The 19969-nt window shown below is 40.5% G+C and overlaps 1 protein-coding gene across 22 annotated transcripts in view; it reads left to right on the plus strand.

Annotated features, from left to right (window-relative positions):
• The window catches only part of AIG1 (androgen induced 1), a 284671-nt gene that overhangs the window by 16731 nt on the left and 247971 nt on the right, over positions 1–19969 (plus strand). The gene's annotated exons all lie outside the window — the stretch shown is intronic.

Consider the following 19969-nt stretch of genomic DNA (forward strand, 5'->3'; position numbering starts at 1 on the left):
GATTTCAGTTCTTTTAAATTTGTTAAGTTTGGTTTTATGGCTGAGAATATGGGCCATCATGTTACATATTCAGTGTGCACTTGAAATATGTATTTTGCTTTTAGTAAGTGGAGTGTTTCTTAAATGTCAACTAGGAGAAGTTTGTTGATGGTGTTATTCAGGTCTTGTATATTCTTGCTTGTTTTCTGGGTCTCTCATTAACTGAGAAAGGAGAATCGAAGTCTCTAAGTATAATTGTGGGTTTGTCTATTTCCTAATTCAGTTTTATTAGTTCTTGCATCATATATTTTGGAATGTACACCTTGTTAAAAGTACATACACATTTGGAAATGCTATGTAGCTTGGTGGATTGACCCTTTATCACTATAAAATGTTCTTATTCCTAGGTAAATATTTTCCTTGCTCTAAAGTCTGCTTTGTCTGATATTAGTATAGCTTCTCCAGCTTTCTTTGTATTAGTGTTTGCATGGTATGTCTTTTTCCATATTTTTACTTTTAACTTATCTTTATAAACACATTTAAAGTGAATTTTTTTGTAGATAACATATAGTTGCATCTTATTTTTAAAGTTTAATTTGATAATCTCTATTCTTTAATAGGTACAGTTTATGTTTAATGTAATTATTAAAATAGTTGGACTTAGGGCTACCATTTTATTATTAGGTTTTTATTTATTATCCTTTTTTTGTTCCCCCACCTCCATTTCCTGCCTTCTTCTGGGTTATTTGAATTTTTTTTTTTTTTTTTGAGATGGAGTCTTGCTTTGTTGCCCAGGGTGTAGTGCAGTGGCACGATCTCAGCTCACTGCAAGCTCCGCTTCCTGGTTCAAGCGATTCTCCTGCCTCAGCCTCCCGAGTAGCTGAGACTGCAGGCACCTACCACCACGCCCGGCTAATTTCTTGTATTTTTGGTAGAGACAGGGTTTCACCATGTTAGCCAGGATGGTCTTGATCTCCTGACCTCATGATCCACCTGCCTCAGCCTCCCAAAGTGCTGGGATTACAGGTGTGAGCGACCGTGCCCGGCCTTGAATATTTTTTAATATTTAACTTTATCTGTCGGCTGTTTGTATATATCTCTTTGAATTATTTTAGTTGTTTTTCTAGTGATTACCATATACAAACTTAGCTTTACACAATCTACTTAGAGGGAATAGTTTATCACTTCAAGTGAAATATATAAACCTTGTCACTTTACCCTCCTTGATTTGTGTCATAGTTGTCATTTTCATTATATCTACATGACTTGAGAACCCTATAGATAAGGTTATAATTTTTGCTATTAACAATAAATATGTTAAAGAACTTAGTATAGTAAAATATTATGTTACCCAGATATTTACCATTTCTGTTGCTCTCTTTAGTTCTTATGTTGATATTTCCCTCTGATATCATTTCCCTTCAGCTTTAGAATTTATTTCAGCATTTCATTAAGAAATCTGCTGGCAAGAAGTCTCTTGGTTTTTCTTCATTGAGTATGCTTTGTTTTGCCTTCATTCCTGAAGGATATTTTTGCTGGATATAAAGTTCTGGTTAGCAGTTCTTTTCTTTCATCACTTAAAAGATGTGTCACTGTCATCTAGCCTGTGTGATTTCTGAAGAGAAATTTGCAATTATTTAAGCCATTGTGCTCTTAAAGGCATATGTTGTTTTCCTCTGGTTGCCTTTATATTTTTTTCCTCATCTTTGGTTTTCAGCAGTCTGCATATGATGTTTCTGGGTATGGTTTTATAAGTTTACTTTGGTAGGAGTGTGCTGAGCTTCTTGAATCTCCAATTATGTCTTTCACTCAGTTTGAGAAGTTTTCAGCCATTATTTCTTCAAATATTTTTTCTATGATTACCTCTTTCTTTCATTTCTTCTTCTGCCAATTAAAATTCCACTTTACATCCAACCATCACTTTGGCTTTGAAGCCGCCACTTAATATTAACACTTGGTAGATGTAGTATGACTATTCTTATATGTCTCTATCTACTGATGAGGATCCTACTCCTTTAATACTACTGAAGAGTACTCTTTTTAGATCCTGCTCTTCCAGGACTCCATTGATATGCATGTCAGATCTTTTTATTATCATTCCATAGGTTGCTGAGGACTTGTTCATTTTTTTCTGTCTCTCTTTTTCTCTGTTTTTTAGATTGTTTAATTTCTATTGATCAATCTTCAAATTCACTGACTCTTTCCACTGTCATCTACATATTGCTATTGCATCCATCTAGTGGATTTTTAAATTTCCAATATTGTGTATTTCAGTTCTAAAATGTCCACCGGGTTCCATTTTATGGTTACTGTTTCTCAGCAATTAATTTCTATCTTTCATTCATTTTAACAGTGTTCATCTTTACCTCATGGAGGATTATTGAAGAGCTGCCCTAAAGTCCTTGCCTGATAATTCCACCATTGGTGTCCTTTTGGGGTTGACATCTGTTGATTGTGGGTTTCCCTTAATATTGATCCATTTTTCCTGGCTCTTTGTATGTCAAATTGTTTTGGATTATACCATGAACATTTTGAATATTGTATTAGTCTGTTTTCACACTGCTGATAAAGACATATTCGAGACTCGGTAATTTATAAAGAAAAAGAGGTTTAATGGACTCACAGTTCTACATGGCTGGGGAGGCCTCACAATCGTGGTGGAAGGCAAAAGGCATGTCTTACATGGTGGCAGGAAAGACAGAATGAGAGCCAAGCAAAAGGGAAAACCCCTTATAAAACCATCAGACCTCATGACACTTATTCACTACCTTGAGAACAGTATGGAGGAAACCACCCCCATGATTCAATTATCTCCCACTGGGTCCCTCCCACAACATGTGGGAATTATGAGAGCTACAATTCAAGATGAGATTTGGGTGGGGACACAGCCAAACCATATCAAACATTATGTGGTGAGGCTCAAGGTCCTGTTAAAATTCTGTGGAGAAATGTTGATTTTGTTTATCTGTTTAAGCAGGCAACCAACCAAGTTTCCTTTTTCCAGCTCTTCTTTTTGTGATTTCTTTTATACTCTCCAGCTCTCAAGATGTCCCTTTTTATGGTTTCTGCAGCCAGAAAGAGTCTTCTCAAAATTTTAGCCTCTTATGATGTCATGCGGTTCACACAATTGGTGACGCCTTCACAGTGAGGCAGCAGGAGAAAAGAGAGAGAGAGAGAGGAAAAACAAAACAAAACAAAACGTATTTTCTCTCCACTATTTACACAGCAGGACTTCCTCTTGCTTGGTTCCTCTGGTCATTGAGTTGGATTTTTCTTGGGGTTTTAGGTACTCATGCTAAAGGAAAAAAAAAGAGGGAATCATAATCTCTAGCAGAGATTATGATAGAGGACTTTTCCTCTATCCTCAGACTGGAAAGAAGGGGCTTCTCCTGGAGTTTTTGCTGTCAGTGTTTGCTTCCCAGTTCTAGAATGCAGTCTGCACTCAGGTCAAATAAGGGGAAGAAAGGAGAGTAAAAATCCACAAACTGTACCCTTATGGGTCCTTATTTATTTTTGCTTTAGTTCCCAATGCACCTGTCATTGTGTAATTTTCAAAGTCCTCAGGCAGTTGATTTTTGTACTCTGTTCAGAGTTCTTAGTTGTAATCAATGGGATTGATAGGCTGTAGTCAGCTTACTCCATTTGGGCTGGCACCAGAAGCCTACATATGTTTTCAATATCTACTTTTTTACACTTAAAATATTTTATAAACATTTTTCCGTGCCATTATACATTCTCCCATAACATAATTTTTAAGACTGCATATTCATTCGAGTGTTTATATTGATTGTCTTAGTGAATATATGAATAAATAAATCTTTACACACATCTGTGATTATTTTCTTAGGATAGATTCCTTTTTTTTTTTTTTTTTTTTTTGCAGTTGCAAGATTTAATAGAGTGAAAACAGAGCTCCTATACAATGGGAGGGGACCCAAAGGGGGTTGCCACTCCGTGCTCAAATGCCTGTGTTTATATCCCGATCATTATCCCTGCCCCATGCTCTCTGGCGATATATGATTTGACTATTTCTTTACCTCCTCTTTTTAGCCTAATTTGTATTTTAGTGAGCCCTCTTTATACCTGATTGGCTGAGTGTGAGCTGAGTTACAAGCCCTGTGTTTAAAGGTAGGTGTGGTCACCTTTCCCAGCTAGGCCTAGGAATTCTTAGTCAGCCTAGGAAATCCAGCTAGTCCTGTCTCTCAGTCCCACCTCTCAACAGGAAAACCCAAGTGCTGTTGGGGAGGTTGGCTGACAACCGCTCTTAACTGCTTCATGCTGAATTGGGGCATAGTAGGGGTCGTGCAGTTGAGATTTCCTTGGGAGGGGTGCCTTCAATGTCATCAACATTGGAGCATGGGCTAGCAGGCCAGTCCAGGGGTCCGCGGTAGATCTTAGTCATGGACTGCATCTGGGGCTCCATTTGAAGAACCATTTGTAGTTTTACAGCTTCGATTCTGGAAGAGACAAACGTAACAAGGAGGTTAAAGATACAAGGATTGAAATGTACGGCCTGAAGTGCAGGGGCATATGAGTGTGGGCGGTGCAAGTGGGGTTTCCTTTAGAAAAACTCCGATACAATAGGGCATCAATATTTCTAGGAAGCCACATTCTCCATAGAAGCTCTCGGTAAGGGGAGCTACTGGTAGTACAGCAGCATACAGGGGGTGCAGTGAGAGTGAAAGGGGGTAAGAGAACAGTAAAAAGAAAAATATGACAAGGGAGGGCCAAGAGGATCTACGATTCTAGTTACTTTCCTCACGGTTGTCGCCTGAAGAGCAGGCGCAGATCCTCTAGAGGTTCACAGGAATAGCTAGCATTGTCTGCTGGATTTTCGGGTTCCTTTGGCAGTATCCAGGGTTTGGCTCGAGTGTGACTTATCCAAGACTCCACTCCAGCCACTTAACTGCGGTTAGGGTAGATAAAATGACTGGGTAGGGTCCTTCCCAGGATGTGTGTAGGGATGGGGAATTAAAGGGGAAGGGACTTGACTAATACCATGTCACCAGGGTGGAATAATTCCTTTCCCTCCTCTCAGGGACAGGTTCCCTGTAATGTTTTAAGAACTCGTTGATATTTGGCTAAGGAGGTGATGTCTGCAACTAAGTTGGCCGTCTCTCAGTCAAGCACAAGGTCATTGGTTAGGAAGGGCTGTCCATACAGCATCTCATATGGACTAAGTCCTGCTTTTTGGGGACAGTTTCGGATTCTTAGTAAGGCTATAGGCAACAGAGCAGGCCATGCAAGGTGGGTTTCTTGGGTTAGCTTTTTTAGATGTCGTTTGAGTGTTTCATTCATTTTCTCAACTTTTCCTGAGGATCGTGGCCTCCAGGCACAGTGTAAGTGATATTGTATACCTAACGCCTGGGATACTCCCTGCGTTACTGCAGCCTTGAAATTGGGGCCATTGTCACTCTGTAAACCTCAGGGAAGTCCGAATCTGGGAATTATTTCATGAATTAGTACTTTTATTACCTCTTGGGCCTTTTCTGTCCTACAAGGGAAGGCCTCCACCCAACCAGTGAAAGTACCCAGATTAGTAGATACTGAAATCTCTGAGATTTGGGCATGTGGGTAAAATCTAGTTGCTAGTCTTCTCCTGGGTAATGGCCTGTTCTTTGTTCTCCTGAAGGAGCTTGGCAATAAGGCAGGGGATTATTTCTTTGGCACACTTCACAGGCCCTGACTATCTGCTTGACAGTTTTGAAAAGGCCTGGTCCAGTAAATAATGATTTGGCCATCTGATGGGTGCTGTCAATGCCTAAGTGAAAGGTCTGGTGAAGGGTTTTAAGTAATTTCCATTGGTTAGCTGCAGGCAAAAGTATTTTTTCTTTGGTGGCTGGCCATCCTGAGGAGAGGAAACTATGTCCTCGTGAGTTTCCCCATTCCATTTCTTCTGCTGAGTACTGGAGCTTGGTTTCCCAGAGGGGATTACCCCATACTAGGGGTCCTTCTGTAAGCATTTCTAATGGAGAGTCCTGCCTTGTGGCTCTTTTGGCTTCAATATCTGCTTGGCGATTCCCTATATTTCCCTTTCCTTTCCTTTCCTTTCTGATGACCCCAGCAGTGTAAGACTGCCATCTCTTTAGGTTTCTGTACAGCCAATAATAATGTCCTAATGGTTTCCTGATGTTTGATACGTGTTCCCTCGGAAGTTAGGAATTCCCTTTCTCTCCATATTGCTGCATGGGCATGGAGGACTAGGTAAGCATACTTAGTCTGTATATATTTACCCTTTTTCCTTCTAATTCTAGTGCCTGAGTGACGGCTATTAGTTCTGCCAGCTGAGTGCTAGTTCCTGGAGTGAGGGGATTACTTTCAAGTATTCCATTATCACTGAACACTGCGTAAGCCGCCTTTCGAAGTCCTTTTTCTACAAAGGAGCTTCCATCAGTATACAAGTTGAGGTCGGGATCAGTCAAGGGAACCTCTAAAAGGTCCCCTTGAGCGGCATAGGTTTGAGCAATTACTTGTTGCCAGTTATGTTCTATTTTTTCTTCATTGTCTGGAAGAAATGTGGCTGGATTAAGAGTTGCGCAAGTGTGCAGTCACAGCACTGGTCCTTCAAGTAATAGAGCCCGATATTTAAGCAAACGGTTGTCTGACAGCCACAAGTCCCCTTTAGCAGTGAGTATGCTGTTCACATCATGAGATGTCCACACAGTAAGAGCTCTTCCTTGTATCATTTTAACTGCTTTAGATACTAAGACTGCTATTGCTGCCACTACCCGTAAACAGTGAGGCCAACGCTTTGCCACTACATCAATTTCCTTACTCAGGTATGCCACGGGTTGCAAGCTGGTCCCAGTTTCCTTACTCAGGTATGCCACGGGTTGCAAGCTGGTCCTTCGGACCTGTGTAAGGACTCTTAGAGCTGTTCATGTTTTTTCTGTGACATATAAAGAAAAGTCTTGCCTCGTTGGTAAGCTTAACACTGGGGCTTGGGTTAGGCCCTACTTTAGGACCTGAAAAGCCACTTCTGCTTCAGGTGTCTATCTTACTAAATGGGTATTGGCTTTCTGAGTTTCCTTAATTAGTGTGTATAATGGCCTGGCTATTTTGCCATACCTGTTAATCCATATTTGGCAGAAGCCTGTTATGCCAAGGAACATTCTTAATTGCTTCAGGGTTTTGGGATGAGGATAAGCCGATATAGGCTGGATACGTTCCTCACTGAGGGCCCTGGTGCCTTTGGATAATTTTAGCCGTAAGTGTTTAACCTGCTGTAAGCAGAGCTGAGCCTTTGGTTTGGAAACCTTGTAGCCACAAGTGGCGAGGAAGTTTAAAAGCGCTTGGGTGGCTTGATGGCACAAGGTTTCTGAACGGGCAGCTAGAAGTAAATCATCCATGTACCAAAGGACATGAGTGTCCAAGTATGAGAACTGGCTCAAGTCTTGGGCTAATGCCTGGCCAAACAGATAGGGGCTATCCCTGAACCCTTGGGGTAAAACAGTCCAGGTGAGTTGAGACATTGGGTTCAAAGGATCTTCAAAGGCAAATAAGAATTGAGAGTCAGGATGTACAGGGATGCAGAAAAAAGCATCCCTAAGGTCCAGGACTGTAAACCACTCTGCTTCCTCTAGTATTTGGGAAAGTGGAGTATAAGGGTTAGGTACAGCTGGGTATAGAGGGACAATGGCCTCATTGATAATCCTGAGATCTTGCACTAACCTCCATTGTCCATTGGGTTTCTGTACTCCTAAAATTGGAGTATTGCAGGGGCTACTGCATGGTTTTACTAGGCCTTGGGCTTTTAGGTCCTTAACAATCTTTTGGAGTCCTTGCTGGGCCTCGGGTCTAAGTGGGTACTGCCTTTGGTAGGGAAAGGAGGCAGAATCCTTTAGTTTAACTTGAATGGGATGAGCATTCTTTGCTCGTCCATATTTTCCTTCTGTTGCCCAGACTTCAGGATTAATTCCTTCCTCAAGTAGGGGACAACAAACGTGTGTTCCTTCTCCTATGTTCAGGTGTCTAATGGCCCCTGCTTTTGCTAGAATGTCCTCTCTAACAAAGGAGTGGGGCTTTCAGGCATAATTAGAAAGGCATGTGAAAAGAGTAAAGTTCCCCAGTTACAACTTATTGGCTGGGAGAAGTATCTAGTGACTGGCTGTCATAGGACCCCTCAGATAGTGACAGATCTGGAGGACAGTTGTCCGGGACAGGAGAGTAAGACTGAGAAGGCCGCACCAGTGTCCAGGAGACAGTTAACCTTCTGGCCCTCAATGGTCAAGCATACCCGAGGCTCTGTGACGGTGATGGTATGGGCTGGTGCTTGCCCCGGGCACCCTCAGTCCTGCTACCGGCTCATGTGGTTAGTGGCTTCTGACTCAGAGGACCTTCATCCCCTGGGGCAGTGGGCCTTCCAGTGACTCCCTTGACATAAGGGGCATGGACGAGGGGGTGGCTTATTTCTATTCGGACAATCTTTTTTACAGTGTCCTTGTAGACTGCACTGGAAGCAAGCCCTATTAGGCATTTGATTTGCCCAGCCTTTCCCTGTTCCAGAGCCTCCAAAGTCTGCTTGCCTGAGGGCCATGACTAAAGCGGTGGCCTTTTTCTTATCCCGTTTGTCCCATTCCACCTGCTCCTCCTGATCTCTATTATAAAAAACCGAGGTTGCCAAGTTCAGTAGCATTTCTAAGCTTTGCTCCAGGCCTAAGGCGGACTTTTGAAGTTTTTTTCTAATGTCTGCAGCTGACTGAGTGATAAACTTATCCTTTAAGATTAGTTGGCCTTCAATAGAGTCGGGTGACAGGGAGGTTTGCTTCCTCAATGCCTTCCTTAGTCTCTCCAGAAAGGCAGTAGGATTTTCTTCCTTTCCCTGTGTTATAGTGGACATCATTGAATAATTTATAGGCTTTCTCCTAGTTTCCCTTAGTCCTTCTAGCACACAAGTTAGTAAATGTCTGCAGCACCAATCTCCATGTTCTGATTCTGCATCCTAATGAGGGTCTACACTGGGAAGTGCTTGCTGGCCAGTGGGGAATTGTTCTTTTCTCTGTTGTCATCCTATCATTGACTTAACTGTAACTGAGATATCAGAGATCGCCAAACTCTCGGGCTGCAGTTACGGTGGCACTTCTCTCATTTGGGGTTAGTGTCTGATCTAGCAGTAACATTACATCTCTCCATGTCAGATCAAAGTATTGTCCTAACCCTTGTAAAACATCAATATAGCCATCAGGGTCATCTGAGAATTTACCTAGGTCTATTTTAATTTGCTTCAAGTCTGAGAGGGAAAAAGGTACATGCACTCTGACTGGGCTGAATTCTCCAGAATACATCTTAGGGGTGTTTTTGCCTTGTGGAGAACGTTTCCCATCTGAAAATAGAACATAGGGATGCCAGCACCCCTAGTCATTTTCTGATGAGCATTAGTCATAGGTGTCCTCTGTGGTCCTAATGCTTATTCCTTTCCAGGACGTATAACAACCCATGGACCTCTGCTTATTGGATTCGTTACGCTCACCGATGTAGCAGTCCTGCACCCCTTTTCCCACCTTTCTTGACCACAAAGAAAGGGGTCCAGGCTGCTGGATTCTAGTGGTCCTTTTCCAGCGTGCCCAACATTGCCTTTGTGCTCAGGGGTGAGTCCTAGAGCTGGGCTGGGTTCCTGAGTATTTCATAGCAACCCAGCTGCTCCATCAAGATGCATTCCCATAAACAACAGTCCTTATGCAAATTCATTTCAGAGAGGGTGTAGGTAACCTTTTGAGTCAGGATTGAGATAGAGTTTTTTTGATTCCGTAAGTACTTTGAGGCTTGGCTAAGTGCAAACAGCTCAGACATTTGAGCAGACCAATTATTAGGCAATTCTCCTAACTCTGCTTCCACAAGAGTCTCCCTATCAATTACTGAATACCCATTGTGGTTTTTCTCTCAATCACCCGGGAGGTGCCATCTGTCCTCCTGTCCTGAAGGGAGTTCCTCCTAGGTCTGGTCGGACCTTTGTATGGTAATTAAGATTTAAATCCCCTGTTAGGAAATCTGCTGGGTTAAGGGAATTTTCAGTGATTAATGTTAAATCAACTTTTTCTAACAGAATAGCCCCATACTTTAAGATTTTTGAGTTAGTAAGCTACCTTTTTGCTTTTTTGACTTAGAATAGTTCTGAACTGGTGAGGTGTGCTCACAATGAGGTTTCCTCTAAAGGTTATTTTTCTATTTTATTCTGTTAGCAAAGCAGTTGCTGCTACAGATTGAATGCATTTGGGCCATCCATGGCTGAGATAAGGATTTTTGATAGGAAGGCTACGGGTTGTCAGTGGTTTCACTGTTTTCAGGCTACACCCTTGTTTACACTGACAACAAGGTAGTATTGGAGTGTTATAGGGTCATGGAGAAGACCTTCAATTATCAATTATAGGTTTTAAATTTACCCTGGCTTTTAAAGGAATAGGGCACACTTTTTTTCTTTACTACTTCTATCTCTCTTTTTCTCTCTTTCTGCCTCTCTTTCCCCACCCCCTGCCTCTCTTTCCCCTCTCTCTCTCTGCCTTGACTTACTCAATTCACTTTCATCCTGATCTGTTATGTTGTTGTAGACCCAGTTCCAGTTGTTAAAGTACTGGGTCATCAGTTCTAAGGCCCTGGCAAGGATGGTGGGGAACAGGTGTCACATAACTGCCCATGTTGAGAGCTGTATGCCTAAATTGGGAGGGACACGAGGGACAAGACACCCTGGGTTCATAGCCTAGGGCCCTAAGGACACAGTGTAGAGCTTCCTTAGATCCCTTTGGAGATACAACTTGCTCTAATACTTGGGAGAGGAAGTGAAAGTCTGAAGCATTAGTACCTAGGAGGCAGGGATCAGAGGAAGTAGATTCAAAGGTAAGGAGAATTTTGGGGCTATACTTTCAAGAAAGTTGTGGTCGGGACCTAGGAGGTATAGGTCAGAAGGAAAGATGGGGCGCACGCATGGGCAACTGTTGAAGAGAGACTTCTGGCTGTGCCATGATCTCAGCTGGCTTATGCCGGGAGTTCAGGACGACAGCTCTCTGCCTCTAGTTGGCCCTCGGCTTCCCCCAGAAAAATTGTGAAAGCGGAAGCTGGTTCCAGGCAGACCAACGCTCCCAACCCAGAGGGTTGGGGGTTGTTAGAAAGCGTTTTCCCAGGAAGCCTCACACCTGAGTCTTAAGTCAGGCAGCCATGCTCATTGTTTTTAACTGGCCAACAGGTGCCTAGTATTTTCCTTCAATTCTAAGGAAGGATAGGACAGAATAGCAAGTGAAAGTGGTCTCATATTACTCACCTCTTTGGAGAATCCCAGTACGGTCTACCAAATGTTACCGGCGGGTCTTTGTTCTTAGAGCTCCCAAGATGGTGGCGGGCTGCTCCCAAGGTGGTGGCAAGCCTTTTGTTCTCTCACCTGGGGTTCTTGGCCTCACACATTCCAAGGAATGGAACCTTGGGCCATGTGGTGACTGTTGTAGCTCTATTAGAAGCTGTGGGTCATGGAAGAGAACCATGGAACCCAGTGACTAGTGTTCAGCTCAATTAGGATGAACCCAGGTGCTTAGCCGTGCCCGAACATTGGTGAGACTTTAGTCTGATCAGAGCAGCAATGGACGCCTCACTCGATCAGGAGTGCAGTGGACACCTTGCCAGATCCAGAGGGATGGAAGTCAGCGGCGGGTCTGCGACGGCGGCAAACAACAGTGGTGGACAGCGAGCGAAAGCTCAGCTCAAGCTGTGAAAAGCACAGACCAGAAGAGTGTGCAGTTGCAAGATTTAATAGAGTGAAAACAGAGCTCCCATACAATGGGAGGGGACCCAAAAGGGGTTGCCCTTAGGATAAATTCTTAAAGGCAGAATTGCTATACTGACATCTTTAAGAGAATATCTTAACTTTAAATCAATTTAGACACCCTCCAATACTTGGAGTACTGATTTCTCTATATTCTCGCTATAGAATGGGATAGAATAGATAGAAAAATAATGGCAATGATCACTCAGGGTGTGTAAACCTGACAATTTCCTGTTTAGTAGATTAACTGCAGATCTTTCGCCACATATCTCATAAATATAAGTGACTAGCTGTCTTTGGCTTGATGTTTATAAAATTCAGTGATATCAGGCACATTTGGTTTGGGCTCATAAAACCTTGAGCCAGACATAAATCTTCAGTTTCATAGAGCATCCTAATTAGGATAGAATCGGCATGGCTGAAGAGAGCAGGAATGGCTTTCTGTGTGCAGTAATCATGGGGTCTGCCTTATGCATTCCATTCATCTTGCATTAAAATTGTGCTTTAGTCATGAGTGATTTATTAGGTCCAATTTGAAGAGTTGGCTTCTCAACTTTAGGAGTCTGAGGAAAGGGTATTTTCTATAACACTGCACATCTTTTTTTTTTTGTAATTACATATGTATACCTTTGCTGTTTTAAAATAGACATATGAACATTAAAAATCCCTATAGAATAGGAAAATATACTCTTCTAAACTATTATGACATATACTATGCCAGAGAAGATTACTTCTGTATCAGCCCAAGCCCTGGCAGAGAAGAGAACTGGTGCACTCAAAGTGGGTAATTTGAATGAGTTTAGTGAAAGAACCATTTACAATTGAGGGCAGGATGTAGAGATCACAAAATATAGCACGAAACGTGTAGGTTAGTAACTGGGGACTGGAGAGTATCACTTCTAGGCCTGGAGCTTTGACCTTTGGTGCTCATCCAGTGTGCAGGCTGCCTTCAGAGGGTGTGTGAACAGAACAAAGACCTCATGTTTCCTGTTCTTTCTTTGTCCAATACTCATTGGACAGTACTCATTGATTAAACCTATCAGAAGTCAGAGGGTCAGCATGCCTTTCAATGCAATGAACACAGATCTACCAAAGTGAATACAGGAAACATGGGATTGAAATCTCCTTCCACAAATGTGTTCCACAAATGTTGCTGGCTAATTTGCAACTAATTGTAAATGATGGAAGAACATTTCTATTTCACCAGGTATTTATAGTAGAATATAAAATGATAATTCGTAACATAAGACTTCTTAGCAGTGCCAGGCATGGTGCCTCATGCCTGTAATCCCAGCACTTTGGGAGGCTGAGACAGGTGGATCACTGGAGGTCAGGAGTTCGAAACTAGCCTGGCCAACATGGTGAAACCCCATCTCTACTAAAAATACAAAATTAGCCACAGGTGGTGGTGGGTGCCTGTAATCCCAGCTACTCAAGAGGCAGAGGCAGGAGAATCGCTTGAACCTGGGTGGCAGAGGTGCAGTGAGCCAAGATCATGCCATTGCACTCCAGCCTGGGCAACAGAGTGAGACTATGTCTCAAAAAAAGAAAAAAAAAAAGACTGCTTAGCAAAATATACTACCAATTTATTAGAGAATTATATATAGCATATTATACATCTATTAATACCTATGATATGAGGAATATATTAGACTTTATAATATAAGGGATAAGCACTTGGGCTTGGGAGTTACACTTAGTTTGAATCCCCTCTTTTCCATCTATGAGCTCTCTGACTTGGGGTGAGCTTATTACCTTCTGTAAGTCATAAAGCTTCTATTTTGTTTGTTTCATACGTTACACAGGAATATAATAGTACCTACCATATAGGATTGTTGTGAGGATTAAATGAGATAATGTATTTTTCTTAGTCCATTTGTATTGCTATAAAGGAATACCTGAGATGGGGTAATTTATAGAGGAAAAAGATTTATTTGGCTCATGATTCTGCTGGCTGGAAGACTGGGCATCTGGTGAAAGTCTCAGGCTACATAAACTCATGGTGAAATGTAACGGGGAGCCTGAGTATGAAGAGATCACGTGGCAAGGGAGGAAGCAAGAGAGAGAGGAGAGGTGCCACACTCTTTTTAGCAACCAGCTCTTGTGGGAACTAATAGAGATATAACCCATTTACTGCCCCCCAGAGAGGGGATTTACCTATTCCTGAGTGATCCACCCCCATAACTCAATCAATTCCCATTAGGCCCCACCTCCAGCACTGGGAATTAAATTTCAACATGAGTTTTGGAAGGATCAAACTTTCAAACTACAGTAGTATGGAAATTGCATAAGCCAATGTCTGGCACATATTAAGTATTGTACTTAATAAATGTCTATTATTCTAATTGTTACACATGTGTGACCAGGGACAAGAATGAAGAGTTGAGTTGGTTCATCCTCTCCTCATTTTAGGATGAAACTAATTGCTTAACTTAGTGTTTAGAAAGGATAGAGAGTTTAGTAATTAAGGGCACAGGTTCTGGAGAAAAATCTTTTGAGTTTGCAGCCTAGTTCTGCCTCTAGCTGTTTCTTTGACAAATACTTATCTGCTCATCTTCTCAGTGCTTTAATTTCTTCATCTGAAAATTGGGTTTGATATCTCTATCATCTATCTATCTATCTGTCTTTCTATCTATCTATCCATCCATCCATCCATAGATATAGTTATATTTTTAAAAGTTTATATACTGTATATATAAAAAGATAAGTATGAAAATTCATTATAATATCAAAAACTTAGAATTTATAGTCGATCTGTTTTCAGGATGTGAGAACATAGTCCCACAGAAGCCAGATCTGGTGAAATTGTTTTCCAATATAGGCATACCTTGGTGAGATTGTGGGTTTGGGTTCAGACCACAGCAGTAAAGTGAATATTGCAATAAAGTGACGCACATGAATTTTTTGGTTTCACAGTACATATAAAAGTTATGTTTACACTTTACTGTAATCTACCAAGTGTGCAATGCCATTATGTCTAAAAAATGTACATGCCTTAATTTAAAAATACTTTATTGCTAAAATATCTTAATGATCATCTGAGCCCTCATTGAGTAATTGTCTTTTACTAGTGGAGGCTCTTGCCTTGATGTTGATGGCTGCTGATTGATCTGGGTGGTGGTTGCTGAAGGTTGGGGTGACTGGCAGTTTCCTAAAATAGGACACCTGTGAAGTTTGCTGCATTGATTGACTTGTCCTTTCATGAAAGATTGTTCTGTACCGTGCAATGCTTGGTAGCATTTTACCCACAATAGAACTTCTTTCACAATTGTTGTCAATCCTCTCAGATCCTGCTGCTGCTTTATCAACTAAGTGTATGTAATGTTCTAAATCCTTTGTTGTCATTTCAACAGTGTTCACAGTATCTTCAACAGGTGTAGATTCCATTTCAAGAAAGCATTTTCTTTGCTCGTCTATAAGAAGCAATACCTGATCTGTTCAAGTGTGTCATGACGTTGCAGCAATTCAATCATATCTTCAGACTCCACTTTTAATTCCATTTCTCTTGTAATTTCTACCACATCTGCAGTTAACTTTCTCCTCTGATGTCTTGAACTCCTCAAAATCATCCATGAGGGTTGGAATTGACTTCTTCCAAACTCCTGTTAATGTTGACATTTTGACTTCCTCCCATAAATTACAAATATTCTTAATAGCTTGTAGAATGGTGAATCCTCTGGTGTTTAGCTATGTATAGAATGGCTCACATTAACCAGGGTCTCTGCTCTGCTTTCAAAGAAGTTTCGATCTGACAGTGCAACTGCAGATTATAATGAGCTTAACACCAGAGAAATCTTTTAATATATGTTTTAAAATAAATGAATAATGACTGTATTAATAAATGCTAAAAATCACAATCCTTGCTGACAACGAAGAGAAAAAAAGCTGTGTCTCTATCTTTGAAAGCACTAGTCTATTCCAAGGCACAGTTACGATGGTAAAACAAAATATTGTTAGTCTCATAGATGCACATCAATGAAAGACAGTAGGTTGGCATCTTAATAGCCATAGCTATAGAAATGGCTCTGCGAAACTGTAATTAACAAAACAATATAAACTGGAGAGAAACATATTTTAGTATGAGAGTACTAAAGTTAAAGGTTCCAAATATTATCAATTAATTAATCCCTAATTCATTCCAGGAAGGAAAGCTATACACATGCATAAGATGAAATGTACTATTGCTTCTCTTTGTTTAATTTTGTTACTTTTTTCCTCTATAAAATAGTAAATTCCAAGATAGTCATAAAATTAGGTGAGAGGAAACACCATCTGTAAGCAACGTCTGGTGCTTTTTAGGTGTATTAGTAATATTAATAAAATAATATTTTACCTAAAAAAAAATGGTGAATCCTTTCCAGAAAGTTTTCCATTTATTTTGCCCAGATCCATCAGAGGAATCACTGCCTGTGGCAGCTACAGCCTTATGAAATACATTTATTTATTTATTTTTTGAGATAGGATATATCTCTCTCACCCATGCTGGAATGCAGTGGCATGAACATGGCTCACTGCAGCCTTGACCTCCTGGGCTCAAGAGATCCTCCTGCCTCAGCCTCTCATGTAGCTGGGACTACAGGTGTGCATCACCATGCTGGGCTAATTTTTTGATTTTTTTTTTTTTTTTTTTTGTAGAGACAGGGTCTCACTTTGTTGCCCAGACTGATCTCAAACTCCTGGGCTCAGGCAGTCCTCCTGCCTCAGCCTCTCAAAGTGTTGGTGTTACAGGGATCAGCTACCATCCCCAACCTATATTTCTTAAATAATAAGACTTGAAAGTCAAAATTCCCTCTTGATCCATGGGCTGCAGAATGGGTGTTGTGTCAGAAGGCATGAAAACATTAATTTTCCTTTACATCTGCATCAAAGCTCTTGGGTGACTAGGTGCATTGTCAATGAGCAGTTATATTTTGAAAGAAGTCCTTTTGTTTTCTGAGCAGTAGATCTCAGTAGTGGGCTTAAAATATTCAGTAAACCATGCTGTAAACAGAACCCTTAGATTTTCGAAATGGTAAATGAGCATTGGCCTCAACTTCAAGTCACCAGTCTCATTAGCCCCTAACAAGAGAGTAAGCCTGTCCATCAAAGCTTTGAGGTCAGGTCAGGTGCAGTGGCTTGTGGCTGTAATCCCAGCGTTTTGAGAGTCTGAGGCGGGAGGATTGCTTGAGGCCAGGAGATTGAGACTAGCCTGGGCAACATAGCATGAGTCTATCTCTACTTAAAATTTAAAAATTAGCTATGTGTGGTGTCATATGGCTATAGTCCCAGGTACTCAGGAGGCTGAGGTGGGAGCATTGCTTGAGCCCAGGAATTCAAGGCTGCAGTGAGCTGTGATTGCACCACTGCACTCTAGCCTGGGTGACACAGTGAGACTCTTGTCTCTGAAAAAAACAAAACAATCATCCCTCCCCTCACAAAAAAATCACTTTGAAGCCAGGCATTGACTTCTCATTTCTAGCTGTGAGAGTCCTAGATGGCATCTTCTTCTAATAGAAGGTTGTTTTGTCTACATTGAAAATCTGTTGTTTATTGCAGTCATCTTCAGCAATGATCTTAGTTGGATCTTCTGTATAACTTGCTGCAACTTCTACTTCAGCACTTGCTGCTTCACCTTGCAGTTTATGTTATGAAGACAGCTTTTTTCCTTAAACCTCATGAATCGACCTCTGCTAGCTTCCAACTTTTCTTCTTCAGCTTCCTCATCCCTCTCAGCCCTCATAGAATTGAAGAGAGTTAGGACCTTGCTCTGGATTAGGTTTTGGCTTAAGGGAATGTTGTGTCTGGTTTGATCTTCTCTCCAGATCACTCAAACTTTCTCCGTGTCAGCAATAAGGCTGTTTTCTTTTTTATCATTTCAGTGTTCACTGGAGTAGTACTTTTAATTTCTTTCAATAACTTTTCCTTTGCATTCACAACTTGGGTAACTGTTTAGCACAAGAGGCCTAGTTTTTGGCCTGTCTAGGTTTCTGACATGTCTGGTTTCCTCACCAGGCTTAATCATTTCTAGCTTTTGCTTTAAAGTGAGAGATGTGCAACTCTTCTTTTCCCTTGATCACTTAGAGGCCATTGTAGGGATATTAATAGGCCCAATTTCAATATTATTTAATCTTGGGAAATAGGGAGGCCTGAAGAGAAGGAGAAAAATGGGGGAATAGCCGGTTGGTGGAGCAGTCAAAACACACACAACATGTATGGATTGCACTTGCCATCTTCTATGGGTGAGGTTTGAGGTGCCCCAAAACAATTATAATAGTAAGATCAAGGATTGCTGATCATAGATCACCATAACAGATATAATAATAATGAAAAATTTGAAATATTGCAAGGATTACCAAAATGGGACAGAGAGACAGGAAGTAAGCATATGCTGTTGGAAAAATGGCACTGATACCCTTGCTTGATGCAGGGTTGCCACAAAACCTTTAATTTGTTAAAAACAAAACAAAACTACCCATCTGTGAGTTGAGTGCGGTAAAATGAGGTGTGCCTCTATGTGATTGATGTCCCCCCATATCTGCTGGTCTAAAATCTGAGGTGGCGTCCATAAGATTCTTTTCCGTTTGACTCAGAGATAATAAGCATCTCGAAAGGCTTCTTTTCATTTCAGGGTGGTAGATCTGGGAGGCAGCCAATGTGTTGCCAAATTGGTGGCAGAAACCTAGAAAATGGGTAGGAAGAAGTAGTAAAAGCACTAACAGAAGTACGTTACATCCTGGGAGATGTAATATACACAAATAAAGTGTTGTAGGTTGTTGCTAATGGTAAGAGTTAGCAGCAGTGTACACTGAGGCCTGTAGTTTCTATTTTATGTACTCCATTGCTTCGGAGTGAGAGAACCAGCCGGTGAGTAGGGGAAAATACCTTCTCAATAGAGCTGAGGTTTGTTGCATGGAGGCCTACAAAGCACTATTTTACTAAATTGAGCTAGAATTGTACATACAAACATTTTCAACCATAGATCTGGGACTAGAATAGCACCCAAGTAAAAAAGTGACCCCTAGATAAGTCTCCGTATCCTATCTATTGAAAAATATTAATACTAGCATTAGACAAATATTTCCTTGCTCCAGGTTGATCAAATAGAAAAAAAAAACAACTTTATGCAACCATTGAAAATTATTGTAGAACAAAGGAAATATATATCATCCTGAAAACTCGAAAGAACACCAGTGAAAATTATTTACAATAGGAAACAAAAAAGTTTAGAAAACTGTTCAGAATCCTCACTATATTGAAAAAGGTGTAGTCTCAGTGAAACAGAGCACAATGCCATGAGTTGAGAATTGAGAAATGAAAAGGCAACAGGATGAGTTGAAAAGGGGAGTGGATGAAATGAGGTTAGTTGCAAGACTCTAAAAATGCAATGGCAAAAACAAAAAAGGAAATGCAATAGCAAAATTAACATCCACAATGGGGGCAGTAAAAGGTAAAATTGATACTGTGGGAAACCAGATCAGTGTGATGGAGAATAAGCTAAAGAAATGTTTTCAGAATTTAGAAGAAAAGGAAAAAGAAAATAATGAAAGAGAAACCGTGAGGTAAAGAGAATGGAACTTCAGTAACAATTATTGATTATTCCTGAATAATAAACTATAGTAATTAGAAAAAAATAATAAAACAAAATTGAAGAAAATTACTAGTGCAGGAAGCAAAAAAAATTAAAAGACTACTGTATGAATTGAAAGGTTAATTGTCTTTCAGGCAAAACACATAAGAAATGACATTTAGCTGGACTCATCCTGGCAAAGTTTGAGGTTTAAAATAATGATCAGCTATCATATAAGTAGCCATGCAAGAAAAACCAAATAAAACATACACAAAGAGCACTCCAGAAAATTACCTAGTAAGGAGCAAAAATTACAGTTTTTTGAATCATCTAAATTTATTATGTATTATTTAGACTCTGAGTCAAAGAGAGTAACAGAGCAACACCTAAAGAATTTTGAGGCAAAAATTGTCTTCTAAAAATTTTATACCTGACCAAGTTATCTTCCTAAGATAATTAAAATATATTATCAGTTATGTAAGTTTTCAGAACATACTATGCATATACCTCATCTTGTTTTTTCATCCCTTTATTACTGCATTTTAATTGAACAAGCCAAGAAAGGAATTAAAATAAAAAATTCAACAATGAAGTAGAAATGATATAAAACTAAAATGTCACTAATTTGCAGACTATTGGTCAAAAATTGAGCTGAGTTAGTGTGGTTTTAATTACAGCTACTTTATCTTTTTTTTTTT

This window comes from Homo sapiens, chromosome 6 (genome assembly GCF_000001405.40).
Source record: "Homo sapiens chromosome 6, GRCh38.p14 Primary Assembly".
In the NCBI taxonomy this organism is placed as follows: Eukaryota; Metazoa; Chordata; class Mammalia; order Primates; family Hominidae; genus Homo; species Homo sapiens.